Source organism: Homo sapiens, chromosome 1, assembly GCF_000001405.40.
Source record: "Homo sapiens chromosome 1, GRCh38.p14 Primary Assembly".
NCBI lineage: Eukaryota > Metazoa > Chordata > Mammalia > Primates > Hominidae > Homo > Homo sapiens.
This window is the reverse complement of record NC_000001.11, coordinates 43,100,843-43,122,477: the sequence shown is the minus strand read 5'-3', so window position 1 is coordinate 43,122,477 and position 21,635 is coordinate 43,100,843. Positions and strand designations below refer to the sequence as shown.

The window sequence follows — 21,635 nt, the reverse complement described above, 5'->3', positions numbered from 1 at the left end:
TACCTATCTATAGGAAAAAACATAGTATATATAGGGTATGGTACTATCTGTGGTTTCAGGCATCCACTGGGGACCTTGGAATGTATCCAGTGTGGATAAGGAAAAAAACGACAGTATTTTTCAGTTGTGTTTCTAAGTTCTTCAGATGTAAATGCAGAATCCTCCCAATGCTATTTTGCCCCTCATCTTACTGATGAAGGAACTGAGGCCCAGAGAGGTTAAGGCCACATTGAAATAACATGGTGGAGTTACAATTCAAAACCAGGTATTCATGCAAAAATCCAATTCAAATTGGATCATAGAACTAAATGTGAACGTTTTTAAAAAGACAAGACTTGGAAGTCTAAAGAGTTATGTTATGGTGATGTCAGCAAGATGGCAGAAGCTCCAGGTCCCTGTTCTCCCATGGAAACATCAAGTAAATGACAACGTATTTACTGAAAATCAGAGGCCGGGTGCGCCGACTCACGCCTGTAATCCCAGCACTCTGGGAGGCCAAGGCAGGCAGCTCACTCAAGGTCAGGAGCTCAAGACCAGCCTGGCCAACATGGCACAACCCTGTGTCTACTAAAAATACAAAAATTAGCTGGGTGTGGTGGCACATGCCTGTAGTCCCAGCTACTCGGGAGGCTCAGGCACGAGAATTGCTTGAACCCAGGAGGCGGAGGTTGCAGTGAGCTGAGATTGTACCACCGCACTCCAGCCTGGGTGACAACAGCAAGACCCTGTCTAAAAAAAAAAAATCTCGGCTCTTACAGTTGTAGGAGCTGTAGAAACCAGTCAAGGATCTGCAGCAACCAATCAATTAAACACCCAATCAAGACAAAGCAACACTTAACACAGTAGGAAATTGTGTTGCTTTTTTTTTTTTTTTTTTTTTTTTTTTGAGCCCTTGCCTACCTTCTCCTCAGTGCAACACAGTCAGGAGGAAGTCACACAATTCCCCTTTCAGAGGGAAAAGACTGGGACTTGTTTGCACTGTTCTGTCTTGTCTGGAGGCTGCCTGAGGAACTGATTTTTATCTCATCTGACTCAGCTTAGATGGGAACGGTGGCATAGTTGGATAGCAGGTTGGACCCCACTGAAAGCAGTGGCAGGTGCCATGGCACATGAAAACTGCCGGAGAACTGTAGACCCAAGGGCACTTGGAGCGGGAGATTACAGGCAGAGAATTACAATGGAACATCTAAGACCCTGAGAAGAAGCAGGGGTGAAAGTCTTAGGAAAATCAAGACGTTTAAAAGCCGCTGTGCATATCTTTGAAAAGCCCACAACTAACGTCATACTCAATGGTGAAAGACTGAAAGCTTTCCCTCTAAATTAGAAGCAAGAATGTCTCTTTTTATCACTCTATTCAACATAGTACTAGAAGTCTTAGCCAGAGAAATTAGGCAAGGAAAAGAAATAAAAGGCATCCAAGTTGGAAAGGAAGAAGTAAAATTATCTCTGTTCACAGACAACTTGGTCTTATAGGTAGAAAACCCTAAAAATCCCAACAAAAACAGTGTTGAAACTAATAAACCAATTTAGCAAAGTTACAAGATATAAAATCAACATGCAAATATCAGTTGTCTTTCTATGCACTAACAACAAACAATCCAAGAAGGAAATTAAGAACAAAATTTTATTTACAATAGCATCAAAGGGATAAAATACTTAGGAATAACCTTAGAGGCAAAAGACTTGTTCACTGCAAACTACAAATTTTGGTGAAAGAAATTAAGGAAGACACCCTTAAGTAGAATATCCTTTCCAATCCATGTTCATAGATTGGAAGATATAATATTGTTAAGAAGTCAATATTACCAAAAGGGATCTACAGATTTGACATAATGTCTATCAAAATCTCAATGATTTCTTTTTAGAAATTAAAAAATTACCTGGGCAATGATTCTATGAAAAAAAATCCACGTCAAACTAAGATAAAATCTCAAGGGACAAAACAATCGAAAAACAAAGTCGGGGAGGAGCCAAGATGGCCGAATCTACAGCTCCCAGCGTGAGCGACGCAGAAGACGGGTGATTTCTGCATTTCCATCTGAGGTACCGGGTTCATCTCACTAGGGAGTGCCAGACAGTGGGCGCAGGTCAGTGGGTGCGCGCACCGTGCACGAGCCGAAGCAGGGCAAGGCACTGCCTCACTTGGGAAGCGCAAGGGGTCAGGGAGTTCCCTTTCCGAGTCAAAGAAAGGGGTGACGGACGCACCTGGAAAATCGGGTCACTCCCACCCGAATACTGCGCTTTTCCGACTGGCTTAAACGGCGCACCACGAGATGATATCCCGCACCTGGCTCGGAGGGTCCTACGCCCACGGAGTCTCGCTGATTGCTAGCACAGCAGTCTGAGATCAAACTGCAAGGCGGCAGGGAGGCTGGGGGAGGGGCGCCCGCCATTGCCCAGGCTTGCTTAGGTAAACAAAGCAGCCGGGAAGCTCCAACTGGGTGGAACCCACCACAGCTCAAGGAGGCCTGCCTGCCTCTGTAGGCTCCACCTCTGGGGGCAGGGCACAGACAAACAAAAAGACAGCAGTAACCTCTGCAGACTTAAATGTCCCTGTCTGACAGCTTTGAAGAGAGTAGTGGTTCTTCCAGCACGCAGCTGGAGATCTGGGAACGGGCAGACTGCCTCCTCAAGTGGGTCCCTGACCCCTGACCCCTGAGCAGCCTAACTGGGAGGCACCCCCCAGCAGGGGCACACTGACACCTCACACAGCAGGGTATTCCAACAGACTTGCAGCTGAGGGTCCTGTCTGTTAGATGGAAAACTAACAAACAGAAAGGACATCCACACCAAAAACCCATCTGTACATCACCATCATCAAAGACCAAAAGTTGATAAAACCACAAAGATGGGGAAAAAACAGAACAGAAAAACTGGAAACTCTAAAACGCAGAGCGCCTCTCCTCCTCCAAAGGAACGCAGTTCCTCACCAGCAAGGGAACAAAGCTCGATGGAGAATGACTTTGAGAGCTGAGAGAAGAAGGCTTCAGATGATCAAATTACTCTGAGCTACGGGAGGACATTCAAACCAAAGGCAAAGAAGTTGAAAACATTGAAAAAAATTTAGAAGAATGTATACCTAGAATAACCAATACAGAGAAGTGCTTAAAGGAGCTGATGGAGCTGAAAACCAAGGCTCGAGAACTATGTGAAGAATGCAGAAGCCTCAGGAGCTGATGTGATCAACTGGAAGAAAGGATATCAGCAATGGAAGATGAAATGAATGAAATGAAGTGAGAAGGGAAGTTTAGAGAAAAAAGAAAAAGAAATGAGCAAAGCCTCCAAGAAATATGGGACTATGTGAAAAGACCAAATCTACATCTGATTGGTGTACCTGAAAGTGATGGGGAGAATGGAACCAAGTTGGAAAACACTCTGCAGGATATTATCCAGGAGAACTTCCCCAATCTAGCAAGGCACGCCAACGTTCAGATTCAGGAAATACAGAGAATGCCACAAACATACTCCTCGAGAAGAGCAACTCCAAGACACATAATTGTCAGATTCACCAAAGTTGAAATGAAGGAAAAAATGTTAAGGGCAGCCAGAGAGAAAGGTCGGGTTACCCTCAAAGGGAAGTCCATCAGACTAACAGCGGATCTCTCGGCAGAAACCCTACAAGCCAGAAGAGAGTGGAGGCCAATGTTCAACATTCTTAAAGAAAAGAATTTTCAACCCAGAATTTCATATCCAGCCAAACTAAGCTTCATAAGCGAAGGAGAAATAAAATACTTTACAGACAAGCAAATGCTGAGAGATTTTGTCACCACCAGGCCTGCCCTAAAAGAGCTCCTGAAGGAAGCGCTAAACATGGAAAGGAACAACCGGTACCAGCCGCTGCAAAATCATGCCAAAATGTAAAGACCATCGAGACTAGGAATAAACTGCATCAACTAACGAGCAAAATCACCAGCTAACATCATAATGACAGGATCAAATTCACACATAACAATATTAACTTTAAATGTAAATGGACTAAATGTTCCAGTTAAAAGACACAGACTGGCAAATTGGATAAAGAGTCAAGACCCATCGGTGTGCTATATTCAGGAAACCCATCTCACGTGCAGAGACACACATAGGCTCAAAATAAAAGGATGGAGGAAGACCTACCAAGCAAATGGAAAACAAAAAAGGCAGGGGTTGCAATCCTAGTCTCTGATAAAACAGACTTTAAACCAACAAAGATCAAAAGAGACAAAGAAGGCCATTACATAATGGTAAAGGGATCAATTCAACAAGAAGAGCTAACTATCCTAAATATATATGCACCCGATACAGGAGCACCCAGATTCATAAAGCAAGTCCTGAGTGACATACAAAGAGACTTAGACTCCCACACATTAATAATGGGAGACTTTAACACCCCACTGTCAACATTAGACAGATCAACGAGACAGAAAGTCAACAAGGATACCCAGGAATTGAACTCAGCTCTGCACCAAGTGAACCTAATAGACATCTACAGAACTCTCCACCCCAAATCAACAGAATATACATTCTTCTCAGCACCACACCACACCTATTCCAAAATTGACCACGTACTTGGAAGTAAAGCTCTCCTCAGCAAACGTAAAAGAACAGAGATTATAACAAACTATCTCTCAGACCACAGTGCAATCAAACTAGAACTCAGGATTAAGAATCTCACTCAAAACCGCTCAACTACATGGAAACTGAACAACCTGCTCCTGAATGACTACTGGGTACATAACGAAATGAAGGCAGAAATAAAGATGTTCTTTGAAACCAACGAGAACAAAGACACAACATACCAGAATCTCTGGGACGCATTCAAAGCAGTGTGTAGAGGGAAATTTATAGCACTAAATGCCCACAAGAGAAAGCAGGAAAGATCCAAAATTGACACCCTAACATCACAATTAAAAGAACTAGAAAAGCAAGAGCAAACACATTCAAAAGCTAGCAGAAGGCAAGAATTAACTAAAATCAGAGCAGAACTGAAGGAAATAGAGACACAAAAAACCCTTCAAAAAATTAATGAATCCAGGAGCTGGTTTTTTGAAAGGATCAACAAAATTGATAGACCGCTAGCAAGACTAATAAAGAAAAAAAGAGAGAAGAATCAAATAGACACAATAAAAAATGATAAAGGGGATATCACCACCGATCCCACAGAAATACAAACTACCATCAGAGAATACTACAAACACCTCTACACAAATAAACTAGAAAATCTAGAAGAAATGGATAAATTCCTCAACACATACACTCTCCCAAGACTAAACCAGGAAGAAGTTGAATCTCTGAATAGACCAATAACAGGATCTGAAATTGTGGCAATAATCAATAGCTTACCAACCAAAAAGAGTCCAGGACCAGATGGATTCACAGCCGAATTCTACCAGAGGTAAAAGGAGGAGCTGGTACCATTCCTTCTGAAACTATTCCAATCAATAGAAAAAGAGGGAATCCTCCCTAACTCATTTTATGAGGCCAGCATCATTCTGATACCAAAGCTGGGCAGAGACACAACCAAAAAAGAGAATTTTAGACCAATATCCTTGATGAACATTGATGCAAAAATCCTCAATAAAATACTGGCAAAACGAATCCAGCAGCACATCAAAAAGCTTATCCACCATGATCAAGTGGGCTTCATCCCTGGGATGCAAGGCTGGTTCAATATACGCAAATCAATAAGTGTAATCCAGCATATAAACAGAGCCAAAGACAAAAACCACATGATTATCTCAATAGATGCAGAAAAAGCCTTTGACAAAATTCAACAACCCTTCATGCTAAAAACGCTCAATAAATTAGGTATTGATGGGACATATTTCAAAATAATAAGAGCTATCTATGACAAACCCACAGCCAATATCATACTGAATGGGCAAAAACTGGAAGCATTCCCTTTGAAAACTGGCACAAGACAGGGATGCCCTCTCTCACCACTCCTATTCAACATAGTGTTGGAAGTTCTGGCCAGGGCAATTAGGCAGGAGAAGGAAATAAAGGGTATTCAATTAGGAAAAGAGGAAGTCAAATTGTCCCTGTTTGCAGATGACATGATTGTATATCTAGAAAACCCCACTGTCTCAGCCCAAAATCTCCTTAAGCTGATAAGCAACTTCAGCAAAGTCTCAGGATACAAAATCAATATACAAAAATCACAAGCATTCTTATACAACAACAACAGACAAACAGAGAGCCAAATCATGAGTGAAATCCCATTCACAATTGCTTCAAAGAGAATAAAATACCTAGGAATCCAACTTACAAGGGATGTGAAGGACCTCTTCAAGGAGAACTACAAACCACTGCTCAAGGAAATAAAAGAGGATACAAACAAATGGAAGAACATTCCATGCTCATGGGTAGGAAGAATCAATATTGTGAAAATGGCCATACTGCCCAAGGTAATTTACAGATTCAATGCCATCCCCATCAAGCTACCAATGCCTTTCTTCACAGAATTGGAAAAAACTACTTTAAAATTCATATGGAACCAAAAAAGAGCCCGCATTACCAAGTCAATCCTAAGCCAAAAGAACAAAGCTGGAGGCATCACACTACCTGACTTCAAACTATACTACAAGGCTACAGTAACCAAAACAGCATGGTACTGGTACCAAAACAGAGATATAGATCAATGGGACAGAACAGAGCCCTCAGAAACAACGCCGCATATCTACAACTATCTGATCTTTGACAAACCTGAAAAAAACAAGCAATGGGGAAAGGATTCCCTATTTAATAAATGGTGCTGGGAAAACTGGCTAGCCATATGTAGAAAGCTGAAACTGGATCCCTTCCTTACACCTTATACAAAAATCAATTCAAGATGGATTAAAGACTTAAACGTTAGACCTAAAACCATAAAAACCCCAGAAGAAAACCGAGGCATTACCATTCAGGACATAGGCATGGGCAAGGACTTCATGTCTAAAACACCAAAAGCAATGGCAACAAAAGACAAAATTGACAAATGGGATCTAATTAAACTAAAGAGCTTCTGCACAGCAAAAGAAACTACCATCAGAGTGAACAGGCAACCTAAAAAATGGGAGAAAATTTTCACAACCTACTCATCTGACAAAGGGCTAATATCCAGAATCTACAATGAACTCAAACAAATTTACAAGAAAAAAACAAACAACCCCATCAAAAAGTGGGTGAAGGACATGAACAGACACTTCTCAAAAGAAGACATTTATGCATCCAAAAAACACATGAAAAAATGCTCATCCTCACTGGCCATCAGAGAAATGCAAATCAAAACCACAATGAGATACCATCTCACACCAGTTAGAATGGCAGTCATTAAAAAGTCAGGAAATAACAGGTGCTGGAGAGGATGTGGAGAAATAGGAACACTTTTACACTGTTGGTGGGACTGTAAACTAGTTCAACCATTGTGAAAGTCAGTGATCTAGAACTAGAAACACCATTTGACCCAGCCATCCCATTACTGGGTATATACCCAAAGGACTATAAATCATGCTGCTATAAAGGCACATGCACACGTATGTTTATTGTGGCATTATTCACAATAGCAAAGACTTGGAACCAACCCAAATGTCCAACAATGATAGACTGGATTAAGAAAATGTGGCACATATACACCATGGAATACTATGCAGCCATAAAAAATGATGAGTTCATGTCCTTTGTAGGGACATGGATGAAATTGGAAATCATCATTCTCAGTAAACTATCGCAAGAACAAAAAACCAAACACCGCATATTCTCACTCATAGGTGGGAATTGAACAATGAGATCACATGGACACAGGAAGGGGAATATCACACTCTGGGGACTGTTGTGGGGTGGGGGAGGGGGAGGGATAGCATTGGAAGATATACCTAATGCTAGATGACGAGTTAGTGGGTGCAGCACACCAGCATGGCACATGTATACATACGTAACTAACCTGCACAATGTGCACATGTACCCTAAAACTTAAAGTATAATAAAAAAGAAAAAGAAAAACAAAGTCAGAGGTCTCTTGATTTCAAAACTTACTATAAAGCCACAGTAATAAAAACAGTGTGGTACTGGCATAAAGATAAACATAAAGACCAATGGAATAGACTGGAGAGCCCAAAAATAAACCTCTATGTGGTCAAATGATGTTTGACAAGGGTGTCAGTACCATTAAATAGGAAAAGAACAGTCTTTTCTGCAAATGGTGGTGTGAAAACTGGATATCTACATGCAAAAGAATGAAGTTGGACCTTAAACCACATACAAAAAGTAACCCAAAATGGATCACAGACCTAAACGTAAGACCTAAAACTATAAAATGTGTAGAAGAAAACATAAGGGGAAGCTTCATGACATTGGATTTGGCAGTGATTTCTTGAATATTACACCAAAAGCACAGGCAACAAAATAAAATATAGATCACTTGGACTACATCAAAATTTAAAATTCCTGTGCCTCAAAAGTCACAAGAAACAGAGTGAAAGGGTAACCAATTGAATGAGTGAATATATTCGCAAATCATATATCTGAAAAGGGGTTAATATCCAGAATGTATAAAGAATTTCTACAACAACAGCAAAAACTCCAATTTAAAAATGAGCAAAGGAGGGCTGGACGTGGTGGCTCACACCTGTAATCCCAGCACTTTGGGAGGCCAAGGCAGGCAGATCACCTGAGGTCAAGAGTCCAAGACCAGCTTGGCCAACATGGTGAAACCTTGTCTCTACCAAAAATAAAAAAGTTAGCTGGGGATGGTGACAGGGGCCTGTAATCTCAACTACTTGGGAGGCTGAGACAGGAGAATGGCTTGAACCCAGGAGGTGGAGGTTGCAGTGAGCCGAGATTATGCCACTGCACTCCATCTCGAAAAAAAAAGCAAAACTCCATCTCAAAAAAAAAAAAAAAAATGGGCAAAGGATATGACTAGACATTTTTCTAAAGAAGATATACAAATGGCTAATAAACACATGAAGAGATGCTCAACATCCCTAACCACTAGGTAAATGTAAATGTAAATCAAAACCACAATGAGATACCATCTTACATCCATTAGAGTGGCTATTATATTTTTTAAATAAACAGAAAATAACAAGTATTGGCAAGGATATAGAGTAATTGGAATCCTTGTGCACTGTTGGTAGGATTGTAAAAATGGTGCAGCTACTATGGAAAATGATATGGCAGCTCCCCAAAAGATTTAAAACAGAATTATGGATATACCATAGCAATTCCACTTCTAGGCATATACATAAAAGAATTGAGAGCAGGGTCTCAAACATATTTGTACACCCATGTTCACAGTAGTATTATTTACAATAGCCAAAAGGTGGAAGCAACTCGAGTATCCTTCAACAGATGAACAAATAAACAAAATGTATATACATACAATGGGATATTATTCAGTCTTAAAGGAAGGAAATTCTGACACATACTTCAACATGGATGAACCCTAAGGACAGTATTCTAAGTAAATAAGCCAGTCACAAAAGGACAAATACTGTATGAATTTCACTTATATGAGGTACCAAGAGTAGTCAAATTCATAAAGACAGGTGTAGAATGGTGGTTGCCAGAAGCTGGGGGGGAAAATGGCTTTTTTTTTTTAATGAATATAGAGTTTTAGTTTTGCAAGATAAAAATATCTATATGACCTCAAGATAGGCAAGATTTATTTAAAAACACACAAAAGGCATTCACCATAAGGAAAGGAAAAATATTCTTATATTTGATTTTTGATTGTTTGAAAATTAAGAAATTGGCCAGGCACAGTGGCTCATGCCTGTAATCCCAGCACTTTGGGAGGCCAAGGCAGGTAGATCACAAGGTCAGGAGATCAAGACCATCCTGGCTAACATGGTGAAACCCCGTCTCTACTAAAAATACAAAAAGTTAGCTGGGTGTGGTGGTGGGCACCTGTAGTCCCAGCTACTCAGGAGGCTGAGGCAAGAGAATGGCGTGAACCCGGGAGGTGGAGCTTGCAGAGAGCCCAGATCGTGCCACTGCACTCCAGCCTGGGCGACAGAGCTAGACTCCATCTCAAAAAAAAAAAAAAAAAAAAAAAAAAGAAAAAAGAAAAGATAAGAAAATTAAGAAATTCCAAAGGTGCCATTAAAAGAGTGAGCTAGGCACAGTGGTGTGTGCCTGTAGTCACAACCACTGAGGAGGCTGAGGTGGGAGGATCACTTGACGCCAGGCTAGGCAACAAAGCAAGACTCCCATCTCGAAAGAAAGAAAGAAAGAAAGACAGAAAGACAGACAGACAGAAAGAAAGAAAGAAAGAAAGGAGGGAGGGAGGGAGGGAGGGAAGGAGGAAGAGAAGAAATTCGTAATACATGTACAGTATCTAGCAAGAGTCCTATCTAGAATATCTAAAAGATTCCTTCAAATGAATAAGAAAAAGACAAACTTCTTTTAAAATGGATAAAATATTTGAGGCAGTGTTTTACAATAGAGGAATTCAAATAACCAATAAACATGTAAAGAGTTGTTCAGCATCATTAATCATTGGGAGAATAAAAATAAAACCACAATGAGATACCATTACACACCCACCAGAATGGTTCATATTGTGTGAAACTGACAATACCAAAAGTTGGTAAGAACACGGAGTAACAAACTCTCATGTCCGTCTGGTGAGAGTAAAACTTGATAAAATCACTTTAGAAAATTGTTCATCAGTAAATAGTAAAGCTGAACATATGCATACCTTATGATTCAGTAATTCCCGTCCTAAATATATACCCAATAGCAATTAATTAATGCATATGCACACCAGAAGATATGTAAAAATACTTATAGCAGTATTATTTGTAATAGCCAAAATAATCCAAAACTAAGTTGAATACACAATAGTAAAATGGATACACAAATTATAGTATAGTCACATAATAAAATACTACACAGATTATCTATTCAGGACAATTAGGCAAGAGATTAAATTTTATTAGACATTCAGAATGGAAAGGAAGAAGTAAAATTATCTATATTTGCAGATGACATAATCTAGTATATAGAAAATTTTAAGGAATTGGCTAAAAAACTGTTAGAACTAATAAATTCAGCAAGGCTGCAGGATGCAAGATTAATATACAAGAAAGCAATTCTGGCAATAAGGAATCTAAAAATGAAACTAAGAAAATCTATTTATAATGCCATCAAAAAGAATAAAATCCTTAGGAATAAATTTAACAAAAATACAAAACTTATTCTGTGAAAAGTGCAATACATTATGTAGGAAATTAAAGATTGAAATAAATGGAAAGACATCTCATGTTTATGAGCCAGAGGACAATATTATTAAAATGACAATACTCTCCAAATTTATCTATACCTTCAACACAATCCCTTTCATAATCCCAGCTGGCATTTTTGCAAAATTTGACAAACTGATTCTAAAATTCATATGGAAGTTCAAGGGACTTGGAAGAGGCAAAGCAATCTTGGAAAAGATCAGAAGATTCATACTTCCTGACATCAGAATTTATGCAAATTTAATGTAATAAAGACAGTGAGCTGTGGCCGGGCATGGTGGCTCATGCCTGTAATCCCAGCACTTTGGGAGGCCGAGGCGGGAGGATCATGAGGTCAGGAGATTGAGACCATCCTGGCTAACATGGTGAAACCCCGTCTCTACTAAAAATACAAAAAATTAGCCGGGCTTGGTGGTGGGCACCTATATTCCCAGCTACTCGGAAGGCTGAGGCAGGAGAATGGTGTGAACCCAGGAGGCAGAGCTTGCAGTGAGCTGAGATCACGCCACTGCACTCCAGTGTGGGTGACAGAGTGAGACTCCAACTCAAAAAAAAAAAAAAAAAAAAGACAGCTACTGGCATAAAGATAGACATGTAAATCAGTGGACTAAACTGATAGTCCAGAAATAAATGCATTAACGAACAGTTGATTTTAGACAAGGGCGCCAAGACAATTCAATGCAAAAAGCATAGTCTTTAAATAAATGGTACTAACATACTGGATAGTGACATGTAAAAGAGTGAGGTTGGACCCTGATATGGTTTGGATTTATGTCTCCACCCAAATCTTAAGTCCATTTGTAATTCCCAGTATTGGAAGAGGGGCCTGGTAGGAGGTGATTAGATTATGGGGGTGGATTTCCCCCTTGCTGTTCTTGTGATAGTGAGTTCTCACAAGATCTGGTTGTTTAAAAATGTGTAACACCTCCCTCTTTGCTCTCTTCCTCTTGCTCCAGCCTTGTAAAACATCCCTCCTTCCTCTTTGCCTTCCCTGCTATGATTGTAAGTTTCCTGAGGCCTCCCCACCCATGCTTCCTATATAGCCTGCAGAACCATGAACCAATTAAACCTCTTTTCTTTATAAATTACCCAGTCTTGGGCAGTTCCTCATAGCAATTCAATAACTGACTAATACAGAAATTGGTGCCAGGAGTGGGACATTGCTATAAAGATACCTGAAAATGTGGAAGTGGCTTTGGAACTGGAAAACGGGCAGAAGTTGGAACACTTTGGAGGACTTAGAAGAAGTCTGGAAGATGAGGAAAAGTTTGGAACTTCAGAGAGACTTGTTAAATTGTTGTGACCAAAATGCTGATAGCGATATGGACAATGAAGTCCAGACTGAGGTGGTCTCAACTAGAGATGAGGAGCTTATTAGGAACTGGAGTAAAGGTCATTCTTGTTATGTTTTAGCAGAGACTGGCAGCATTGTGCCCCTGCTCTAGGGATCTGTGTAACTTTGAACTTGAGAGTGATGATTTAGGGTATCTGGCAGAAGAAATGTCTAAGCAGCAAAGTGTTCAAGATGTGGCCTGGCTGCTTCTAGCAACCTATGCCCATATTTGTGAGCAAAGAGATGATCTAAAACTGGAACTTATATTTGAAAAAGAAGCAGAGCATAAAAGTTTAGAAAATTTGCAGCCTGACCATGTGGTAGAAAAGAAAAATCCATTGTATTAGTTCTTTTTCATGCTGCTGATAAAGACATACCCAAGACTGGACAATTTACAAAAGAAAGAGGTTTAATTGACTCAGTTCCACATGGCTGGGGAGGTCTCACAATCATGGCAGATGGCAAAAGGCACATCTCACATGGCAGCAGACAAGAGAAGAGAATGAGAGCCAAGTGAAAGGGGTTTCCCCTTATAAAACCATCAGATCTCATGAGACCTGTTCACTACCACGAGAACACTGTGGGTGAAACTGCCACCATGATTCAATTATCTCCCACTGGGTCCCTCCCACAACATGAGGGAATTATGGAAGCTACAATTCACGATGAGATTTGGGTGAGGACACAGCCAAACCATATCACCCATTTTCTAGGGAGGAATTAAAGCCAGGCTGCAGAAATTTGCATAAGTAAAGAGGAGCCAAATGTTAATAGCCAAGACAATGGGGAAAATGCCATAAAGACATTTCAGAGACCTTTGCAGCAGCTCCTCCCATCACAGGCCCAGAGGCCTGGGAGGGAAGAATGGTTTTATGGGCTGGACCCAGAGCCCCACTACCCTGTGCAACCTCAGGATGCTGCTCCCTATGTCTCATCTGCTCCAGCTCCAGCCATAGCTAAAAGGGTCCCAGATATGTCTCAGGCCACTGCTCCAGAAGGTGCAAGGCACAAGCCTTGACAGCTACCACATGGTAAGAAATTTGTGGGTGCACAGAGGGCAAGAGTTGAGGCTTGGGAGCTTTCACCTAGATTTCAGAGGATGTATAGAAATGCCTGGAGGTCCAGGCAGAAGTCTGCTGCAGGGGTGGTGTGCTCATGGAGAGCCTCTACTAGGGCAGTGCAGAGAAGAAATGTGGGATTGGAGCCCCCACACAGTCCCCACTAGGGCACTGCCCCGTGAGAAAAGGACCACCATCCTCCAGATCCCAGAATGGTAGATCCAGTGACACCTTGCACTGTGCACCTGGAAAAGCTGCAGGCACTCAATGCCAGCCTGTAAAAACAGCTGAGGGGGGCTGTATCCTGCAGAGCCACAGGGGCAGAGCTTCCCAAGGCCTTGGGAGCACACCCTTTGTATCATTGTGGCCTGGATGTGTGACATCAAGTCAGAGGAGATTATTTGGCAGGTTTAAGATGTGATGAGTGCCCTTCTGGGTTTTGGACTCGCATGGGGCCTGTAGACCCTTTGTTTTGTCTGATTTCTCCCTTTTTAAACAGGTTTATTTATGCAATACCTGTACCCCTGTTGTATCTTGGAAGCAACTAACTTGTTTTTGACTTTACAGGCTCATCAGTGGAAGGGATTTACCTTGTCTCAGATGAGACTTTGGACTGTGGACTTTTGAGTTAATGCTGAAATGAGTTAAAATGTGGGGGACTGTTGAGAAGGGATGATTGGATTCTGCGGTGTGAGAAGGACATGTGATTTAGTAGAGGCCGCAGGCAGAATGATATGCTTTGGATTTGTGTCCCTGCTGAACTCTCATGTCAAATTGTAATTCCCAGTACTGGAGGAGGGGCCTGCTGGTGGGAGGTGACAGCGTGCTGGCAGCCCTTGCAGCCCCAAAGCTCACTCTCGGTGCCTCCTCGGCCTCAGTGCCCATTCTGGCCATGCTTGAGGAGCCCTTCAGCCCACTGCTGCACCGTGGGAGCCCTTCTCTGGGCTGGCCAAGGCCAGAGCCGGCACCCTCGGCTTGCAGGGAGGTGTGGAGGGAGAGACACGGGCAGGAACTGGGGCTGCGCGCAGCACTTGCGGGCCAGCTGGAGTTCCGGGTGGGCGTGGGCTTGGCGGCCTCACACTCAGAGTGGCTGGCCGGCCCTGCTGGCCCAGGCAGTGAGGGGCTTAGCACCTGGGCAAGCAGCTGCCGATGGTGCGCCGGCTCCCCCAGCAGTGCTGGCCCACAGCGCTGCGATGGATTTCTCACCAGGCCTTAGCTGCCTCCCCACAGGGCAGGGCTCGGGACCTGCAGCCCGCCATGCCTGAGTCTCCCACCCCCCATCCACGCCCCCGCCCCCCACCACCCCCACACCCCCCCATTCCCCACCACCCACCACCCCCCCGCCCCCCCACCACCTCCCACCGCCCCCCTACCCCCCACCACCCCCTGCCCCCCGCCCCTCACCACCCCTCTGCCCCCCTCCCTCCCCCGTGGGCTCCTGTGTGGCCTAAGCCTCCCCGACGAGCACTGCCCCCCACTCCATGGCACCTGGTCTCATCTACCACCCAACGGCTGAGGAGTGCGGGCGCACCGCGTGGGACTAGCAGGCAGCTCCACCTGCGGCCCTGGTGCGAGATCCACTGGGTGAAGCCAGCTGGGATCCTGAGTCTAGTGGGAACTTGGAGAACCTTTATGTCTAGCTAAGGGATTGTAAATACATCAATCAGCACTCTGTATCTAGCTCAAGGGCTCAAGGTTTGTAAACACACCAATCAGCACCCTGTGTCTAGCTCAGGGTTTGTGAATGCACCAGTCTGCACTCTGTATCTAGTTAATCTGGTGGGGACTTGGAGAAACTTTATGTCTAGCTAAGGGATTGTGAATGCACCAATTGGCGCTCTGTATCTAGCTCAAGGTTTGTAAATGCACCAATCAGCACTCTGTGTCTAGCTCAGGGTTTGTAAATACACCATTTGACACTCTGTATCTAGCTAATCTAGTGGGGACACGGAGAACTTTTGTGTCTAGCTCAGGGATTGTAAACGCACCAATCAGCACCCTGTCAAAACGGACCAATCAGCTCTCTGTAAAACATACCAATTGGCTCTCTGTAAAATGGACCAATCAGCAGGATGTGGGTGGGGCCAGATAAGAGAATAAAAGCAGGCTGTGCCAGCCAGCAGTGGCAACCAGCTCCAGTCCCCTTCCACACTGTGGAAACTTTGTTCTTTCACTCTTTGATATAAATCTTGCTGCTGCTCACTCTTTGGGTCCACACTGCCTTTATGAGCTGTAACACTCACTGCGAAGGTCTGCAGCTTCACTCCTGAAGCCATTGAGACTACGAACCCACCGGGAGGAAAAAACAACTCCAGACGCGCCGCCTTAAGAGCTGTAACACTCACCACAAAGGCCTGCAGCTTCACTCCTGAGCCAGCGAGAACACGAACCCACCAGAAGGAAGAAACTCCAAACACATCCACACATCAAAAGGAACAAACTCTGGACACGCCGCCTTTAAGAACTGTAACACTCACCGCGAGTGTCCACGGCTTCATTCTTGAAGTCAGTGAGACCAAGAACCCACCAATTCTGGACACACTGGGAGGTGATTGGATCATGGGGGCAGATTTCCCCCTTACTGTTCTCATGATAGTGAGTTCTCATGAGATCGGGTTGTTTAAACATGCTTAGCACTTCCACCTTTGCTCTTTTCCTCCTGTTCTGGCTATGTAATATGTTCCTCCTTCCACTCCACCTTCCGCCATGATTGTAAGTTTCTTGAGGCCTCCCCCACCCATGCTTCCAGTACAGCCCATGGAACCATGAGCCAATTAAACCTCTTTTCTTTATAAATTACCCAGTCTCAGGTAGTTCTTCATAGCAATGTGAGAACTGACTAATACAGACTCCCACCTCACATAATATATGAGAATTACCTCAAAATGGATCAAAGATCTCAATGTAAAAGCTAAAAATAGAAAGCTCTTAGGTAGCTGGATGTGGTGGCATGCACCTGTAGTCCCAGCTAGCTGGGGGCCTGAGGAGGGCAGATTGCTTGAGCCCTGGAAGTCAAGGCTGCAATGAGTTGTGTTCATGCCACTGCATTCCAGCCTGGGTGGCAGCGGGAAACTGTCTCAAAAAAAAAAAAAAAAAAAAAAATATATATACACACACACACACACACACACACACACACACACACACACACACACACACACATATAAATGACATAAAATAAAGCTCTTAGAAGAAAATAAAGGGTAAATCTTCATGGCCTCAGATTAGGCAATAATTTGTTAAATCTGACCCAAAAGTACAAGCAAAAACAAACAAACAAAATAGACAAATTGGATTTCATCAAAATTAAAACTTTTACGCTGCAAAGGACACCATCAAGAAAGCAAAAAACCCATAGAATGGGAGAAAATACTTGCAAATTATATATCTGATAAGAAACTTATATCTACAATATACAAAGAACACTTACAACTCAATAAGGAGACAAATAAACAAATGAAAAAGTAGGCAAAGATCTGAATAGACATTGTTCCAAAGAAGATATGCAGATGTCCAGCAAGCACACGAAAAGATGCTCAACACCATTAGCCTCCAGTAAAATGCAAATCAAAAACACCATGAGATACTACTTCACACCATTAGAGAGTGTGGGGGAATTTATCTTAAACATGCTTGTTTACTAATGTTGACAAGGAACTGATTTTTGATTATCCATGTGCATAACACACCCTGGAAGGGGAACTACAAATGTTAATTACCTACAGGTTGTGTGGGCTCCAGGTTTTCCACACTGTGCCTGCACTGAATAAAAGCAAGCAGTTCCAGCTTCTCAGGGCTGCTCTCTGGCCACTAGAGCCAGGCAGTCACTTAGCTGCTCTTACACTGCATACCTGTGTCTGAGTACTCATTTCATCCATCGGGCAGGGTCTGTGGGACAGACACAGCAGCAAAAGAGGTGAATATTGTAATTCAGAGGTCTGGTGCAGTGGCTTATGCCTGTAATCCCAGCACTTTGGGAGGCCGAGGCAGGTAGATCACGAGGTCAAGAGATCAAGACCATCCTGGCCAACATGGTGAAACCCTGTCTCTGCTAAAAATACAAAAATTAGCTGGGTGTGGTAGTGCATGCCTGTAGTCCCAGCTACTTGTGAGGCTGAGGCAGGAGAATCACTTGAACCAGGGAGGCGGAGGTTGTAGTGAGCCGAGATCATGCCACTGCACTCCAGCCTAGTGTCAGAGTGAGACTCTGTCTCAAAAAAAAAAAAAATTTTTTTTAATTCAGAAACAGACTTTTTACATAGGTTTTAGAGAGAGAGATACACATTGTCTGACTCTAAATCAGTCAGGATTCCCCCCCTTCCTACCACATAACCAGTCAATTAAGGCACTAGTGGTTGCAAGGCCTTTTTCCATATTGGTCATTTAACACTTGTTTTCAAGAATGACTTTTCTGATGAGTGATACAATTAAAACTGTTGCCGAAACCTTTCCCACAAGTGGGACATTTGTAAGGTCTCTCCCCAGTATGGGTTCTCTAATGAGCAATGAGACTTGAGCTCTAACTGAAGTTTTTCCCACATACTAAATGCTTGAAGGCCTTTCCCCTGTGTGGGCTCTTTTATGCATAAAAAGAAATTAACTGGGGCTGAAGCTTTCCCCACACTGGAAGCAACAATACAGTTTCTGTTCTGTGTGGGTTATCTGATGCACTGCAAGTTGGGAGCTATGACTGCATCTCCAACCACACTCTGGGCATTTGTGAGGCATCTCCTCTGCATACATCCTCTGTCCAGGAGCAAGTTGGACCTGTAGATATAGTCTCCCCCACACTCCTGACACTCAAGTTAAGAATATACCCAGCTCTAGAGTGAGATAGCCTAGATTCATACCCTTATCTACCCATATTAGCTGTGTAACCTTGGACAAATAAACTTAAAAAAAATCTTATAATATGGTTTGGCTGTGTGTCCCCACCCACATCTCACCTTGAATTGTAATAATCCCTACTTGTCAAGGGCAGGACCAGGTGGAGGTAATTGGATCATAGGGGCAGTTTCCCCTATGCTTTTCTCATAATGATGAGTGAGTCTCACGAGATCTGATGGTTTTTTAAGCACCCGGCATTTCCCTTGCTTGCGCTCATTCTCTCTCCTGCCACCCTGTGAAGAGGTGCCTTCCACCATGATTGTAAGTTTCCTGAGGCCTTCCTAGCCATGTGGAACTGTGAGTCAGTTAAACCTCTTTTCTTTATAAATTACCTAGTCTTGGGCAGTTCCCTATAGCAGCATGAGAAAGAACTAATACATCTTATAAATAAAAAAGTATATGTTTTTCAATTGTGATGAACAAATAGCCTAATGTATGTTAAGGGTTTTACATAGTGCCTAACCCAAGTAAGTGCTCAGTAAATGGTTGCTATTATTAAATATAATACAAACTAATTTAGAAAATGAAATGGGAAACAGCAGAGCACAGAAAAAGGAAGAACATTTCCAAACTAATGCTTTGAGAAAAACATAATCTTTTTTTTTTTTTTTTTTTTTTTTTTTTTTGAGATGGAGTCTTGCTCTGTCACCCAGGCTAGAGTGCAGTGGTGAGATCTCGGCTAACTGCCACCTCTGCCTCCAGGGTTCACGCCATTCTCCTGCCTCAGCCTCCCGAGTAGCTGGGACTACAGGCACCCGCCACCACACCTGGCTAATTTTTTTTGTATTTTTAGTAGAGACAGGGTTTCACCGTGTTAGCCAGGATGGTCTCGATCTCCTGACCTCGTCATCTGCCCACCTTGGCCTACCAAAGTGCTGGGATTACAGGCGTAAGCCACTGTGCCCGGCCAAGAAAAACATAATCTTTATATTAAAACTGGATGACAGCACACGAAAACAGAAAATCATAGACTAATTTCACTTATGAATATAGTTGTAAAATTTCTGAAGAAAATTAAATCAGGAAAATTAAAATCAGCAGGGTTCTAAATGAATAATAATGTCATGGCCAAAAAGTGGCTAACTTAGAGACAAGTTTTTACATTTTTCAGTACCTCATTTTCTTCATTCATAAATTGACATGGTAATAATACAGTAGTAGCGGTGCTCCAGACGGCCTGCCTTTGCCATCACTTGGACTGCAGCAGGGAGGTGCCGCTGGGGCTGCATGTGCCATGGAGCCTGAGGGAGCAGGGGACAAATGAGAACCTCACCCCTTCCGAGTTGGGCAGGAGCTCCCCAGGTGCTGTTGCAGCCCCCCAAACAAGGGCTGCAGACATGGCCTCCTGCTCCATGGAGCAGGCAGGATCTCTGCCCTACTGGGCACAGCTGTAGCCACTCAAAGCCACCCAAAGCACACTGCAGACCTGGGCTTCCTACTCCATGGAGGAGGCAGAAGCCCTGCCTTTCTGGGCTGGGCTGCAGCTGCTCAAGTTGTGGCTGCAGTCCCCCAAGTTATGGCTGCAGATCTCAGCCTCCCTGAACTCTCAGGTAAAGCTGCAGCCACCCAAACCATGGCTATACTTCACAGAGGTCTCCCCCTTCATGGAGCAGGCAGGAGCCCTGCCCCCCTCCCCACTTCTGTGCAGCTGCAGCCACACAAACTGCAGCTGCAGACTCAGGCATCCCCGTACTCTTGGGTGCCCAGGAAGGCACCCCTGCCCTTGCAGGCTCAGAAGTGGCTGCTCCTGCTGCCTGGCTTCTCCCTGCTGTCAGCACTGGCTCTGATCTCAAAGCAAATTTGCTATGAGCCCAGAAGCCATGAATGGTGGCAGGAGGCAGACAGAAGATGGTGGAAGGGGTGGGCCCCTGGTGAGGCCCCACATTCAGGCCAGTAAGGGCCTGAAGGCTGAGGGCTGGGCTGCCAGTCCCACAGACTGGAGTGGAAACTTGTGGTGCCTTTTCCTGGCCACTCATGGCCACCCATGGGCCAACTGGCAGGCACTTCCTCCCCTCTGAGGCCCATAAAAGCCCTGGGCTCAGCCAGAGCTGAGCAGAGGATGGGCAGACCAGCTGCAGAAAGGAGCTACCCCAGGAGACTACCAGAAGGCCTGCCTGCAGGAAGAAGAAACCCACTCCAGGGCCTTCTGTCTGCTGAGAGCTGCAGAGATGACAGGATGACCTGCCTGCAGAGAGGAGCTTCCCACTCCAGGGTCTCCTGTGCTAGGAGCTGAACACTCGTTGGGACACCCCAGCTGCAGAAAGGAGCTACCCCCTGCAGGTGTCCTGTGAGCTCTTCCATTGTTCAATAAACATTTTCTTCATCTTACTCACCCTCCACTTCTCTGTCTACCTCATTCTTCCTGGTTGCAGGACAAGACCTCAGGACTGACCAAATGGCAGAACTAACAGCTGTAACACAAACAGGGCAGAAACATGTCCCTTGCTTGCCACATTGTGGGCAAAGAGAAGGAGAGAAGAGCTGCAACCCCTTGGGGATCCCAGACCTGGGAGCTCCCTGAGCCAAAGCTGTTACTCCCTCTTTGTGGTCCTGTGGTGCCTGGCATCTCCAAGCTTTCAGGCACTACTGCATTCCCCAGTGCCAGCTGAGGAAGCTGCTTGCCATGCACCTGGACCTGCCACAGCCTTGCAGAGAGCTGGCACCCATGCTGGCACTTGGAGCTGCCTGCCCCACAGCAGCAGCTGGCATGTCTGACTGCACAGTGGCTGGACCTCACACTCTCTCACACACTCCTCACCACTCCATGCCTGGCTCACCCTTGGCAGGCATAGGATCCAGCTGGGTAACATGAGCCAAGTGCAGCCTGCCAGATCAAGTGGGCAGAATGAGCCCAGCGGCCCAAGCAAAAATTGGGCAAAGGTGCCATGGGCCACAGAGGCTTCTGGCCAGAAGAGCGACATCCAAACATGTTGTAAAAGAGTTATGATGCTAAGTTGAGCATAAAGAACTAAGAATACTGAATGGCATAATAACACTTGATAAACGTCAAGTATCAATGCTATGATTACCACTACTATCAACACTGAAATGTTAGGATGGTTTAACCTAGGAAAAGAGAAAAACCATGATCAACTTAATTGTTGCTGAAAAGACATTCCATAAAATTCAACACTGACTTCTTTTAAAAATGCTTAG

General features: G+C 43.8%; 4 annotated features.

Annotated features, from left to right (window-relative positions):
* Positions 555 to 1,076: an enhancer, noted in NCBI's record as "H3K4me1 hESC enhancer chr1:43587073-43587594 (GRCh37/hg19 assembly coordinates)". NCBI's record gives its function as "activates a minimal SCP1, AML or CMV promoter by ChIP-STARR-seq in naive H9 embryonic stem cells {active_cell/tissue: H9 hESC(naive)}" and the evidence as "EXISTENCE:reporter gene assay evidence [ECO:0000049][PMID:30033119]".
* Positions 1,625 to 2,265: an enhancer, noted in NCBI's record as "NANOG-H3K27ac-H3K4me1 hESC enhancer chr1:43585884-43586524 (GRCh37/hg19 assembly coordinates)". NCBI's record gives its function as "activates a minimal SCP1, AML or CMV promoter by ChIP-STARR-seq in primed H9 embryonic stem cells {active_cell/tissue: H9 hESC(primed)}" and the evidence as "EXISTENCE:reporter gene assay evidence [ECO:0000049][PMID:30033119]".
* Positions 2,266 to 2,907: an enhancer, noted in NCBI's record as "NANOG-H3K27ac-H3K4me1 hESC enhancer chr1:43585242-43585883 (GRCh37/hg19 assembly coordinates)". NCBI's record gives its function as "activates a minimal SCP1, AML or CMV promoter by ChIP-STARR-seq in primed H9 embryonic stem cells {active_cell/tissue: H9 hESC(primed)}" and the evidence as "EXISTENCE:reporter gene assay evidence [ECO:0000049][PMID:30033119]".
* Positions 20,155 to 20,659: an enhancer, noted in NCBI's record as "H3K27ac-H3K4me1 hESC enhancer chr1:43567490-43567994 (GRCh37/hg19 assembly coordinates)". NCBI's record gives its function as "activates a minimal SCP1, AML or CMV promoter by ChIP-STARR-seq in naive H9 embryonic stem cells {active_cell/tissue: H9 hESC(naive)}" and the evidence as "EXISTENCE:reporter gene assay evidence [ECO:0000049][PMID:30033119]".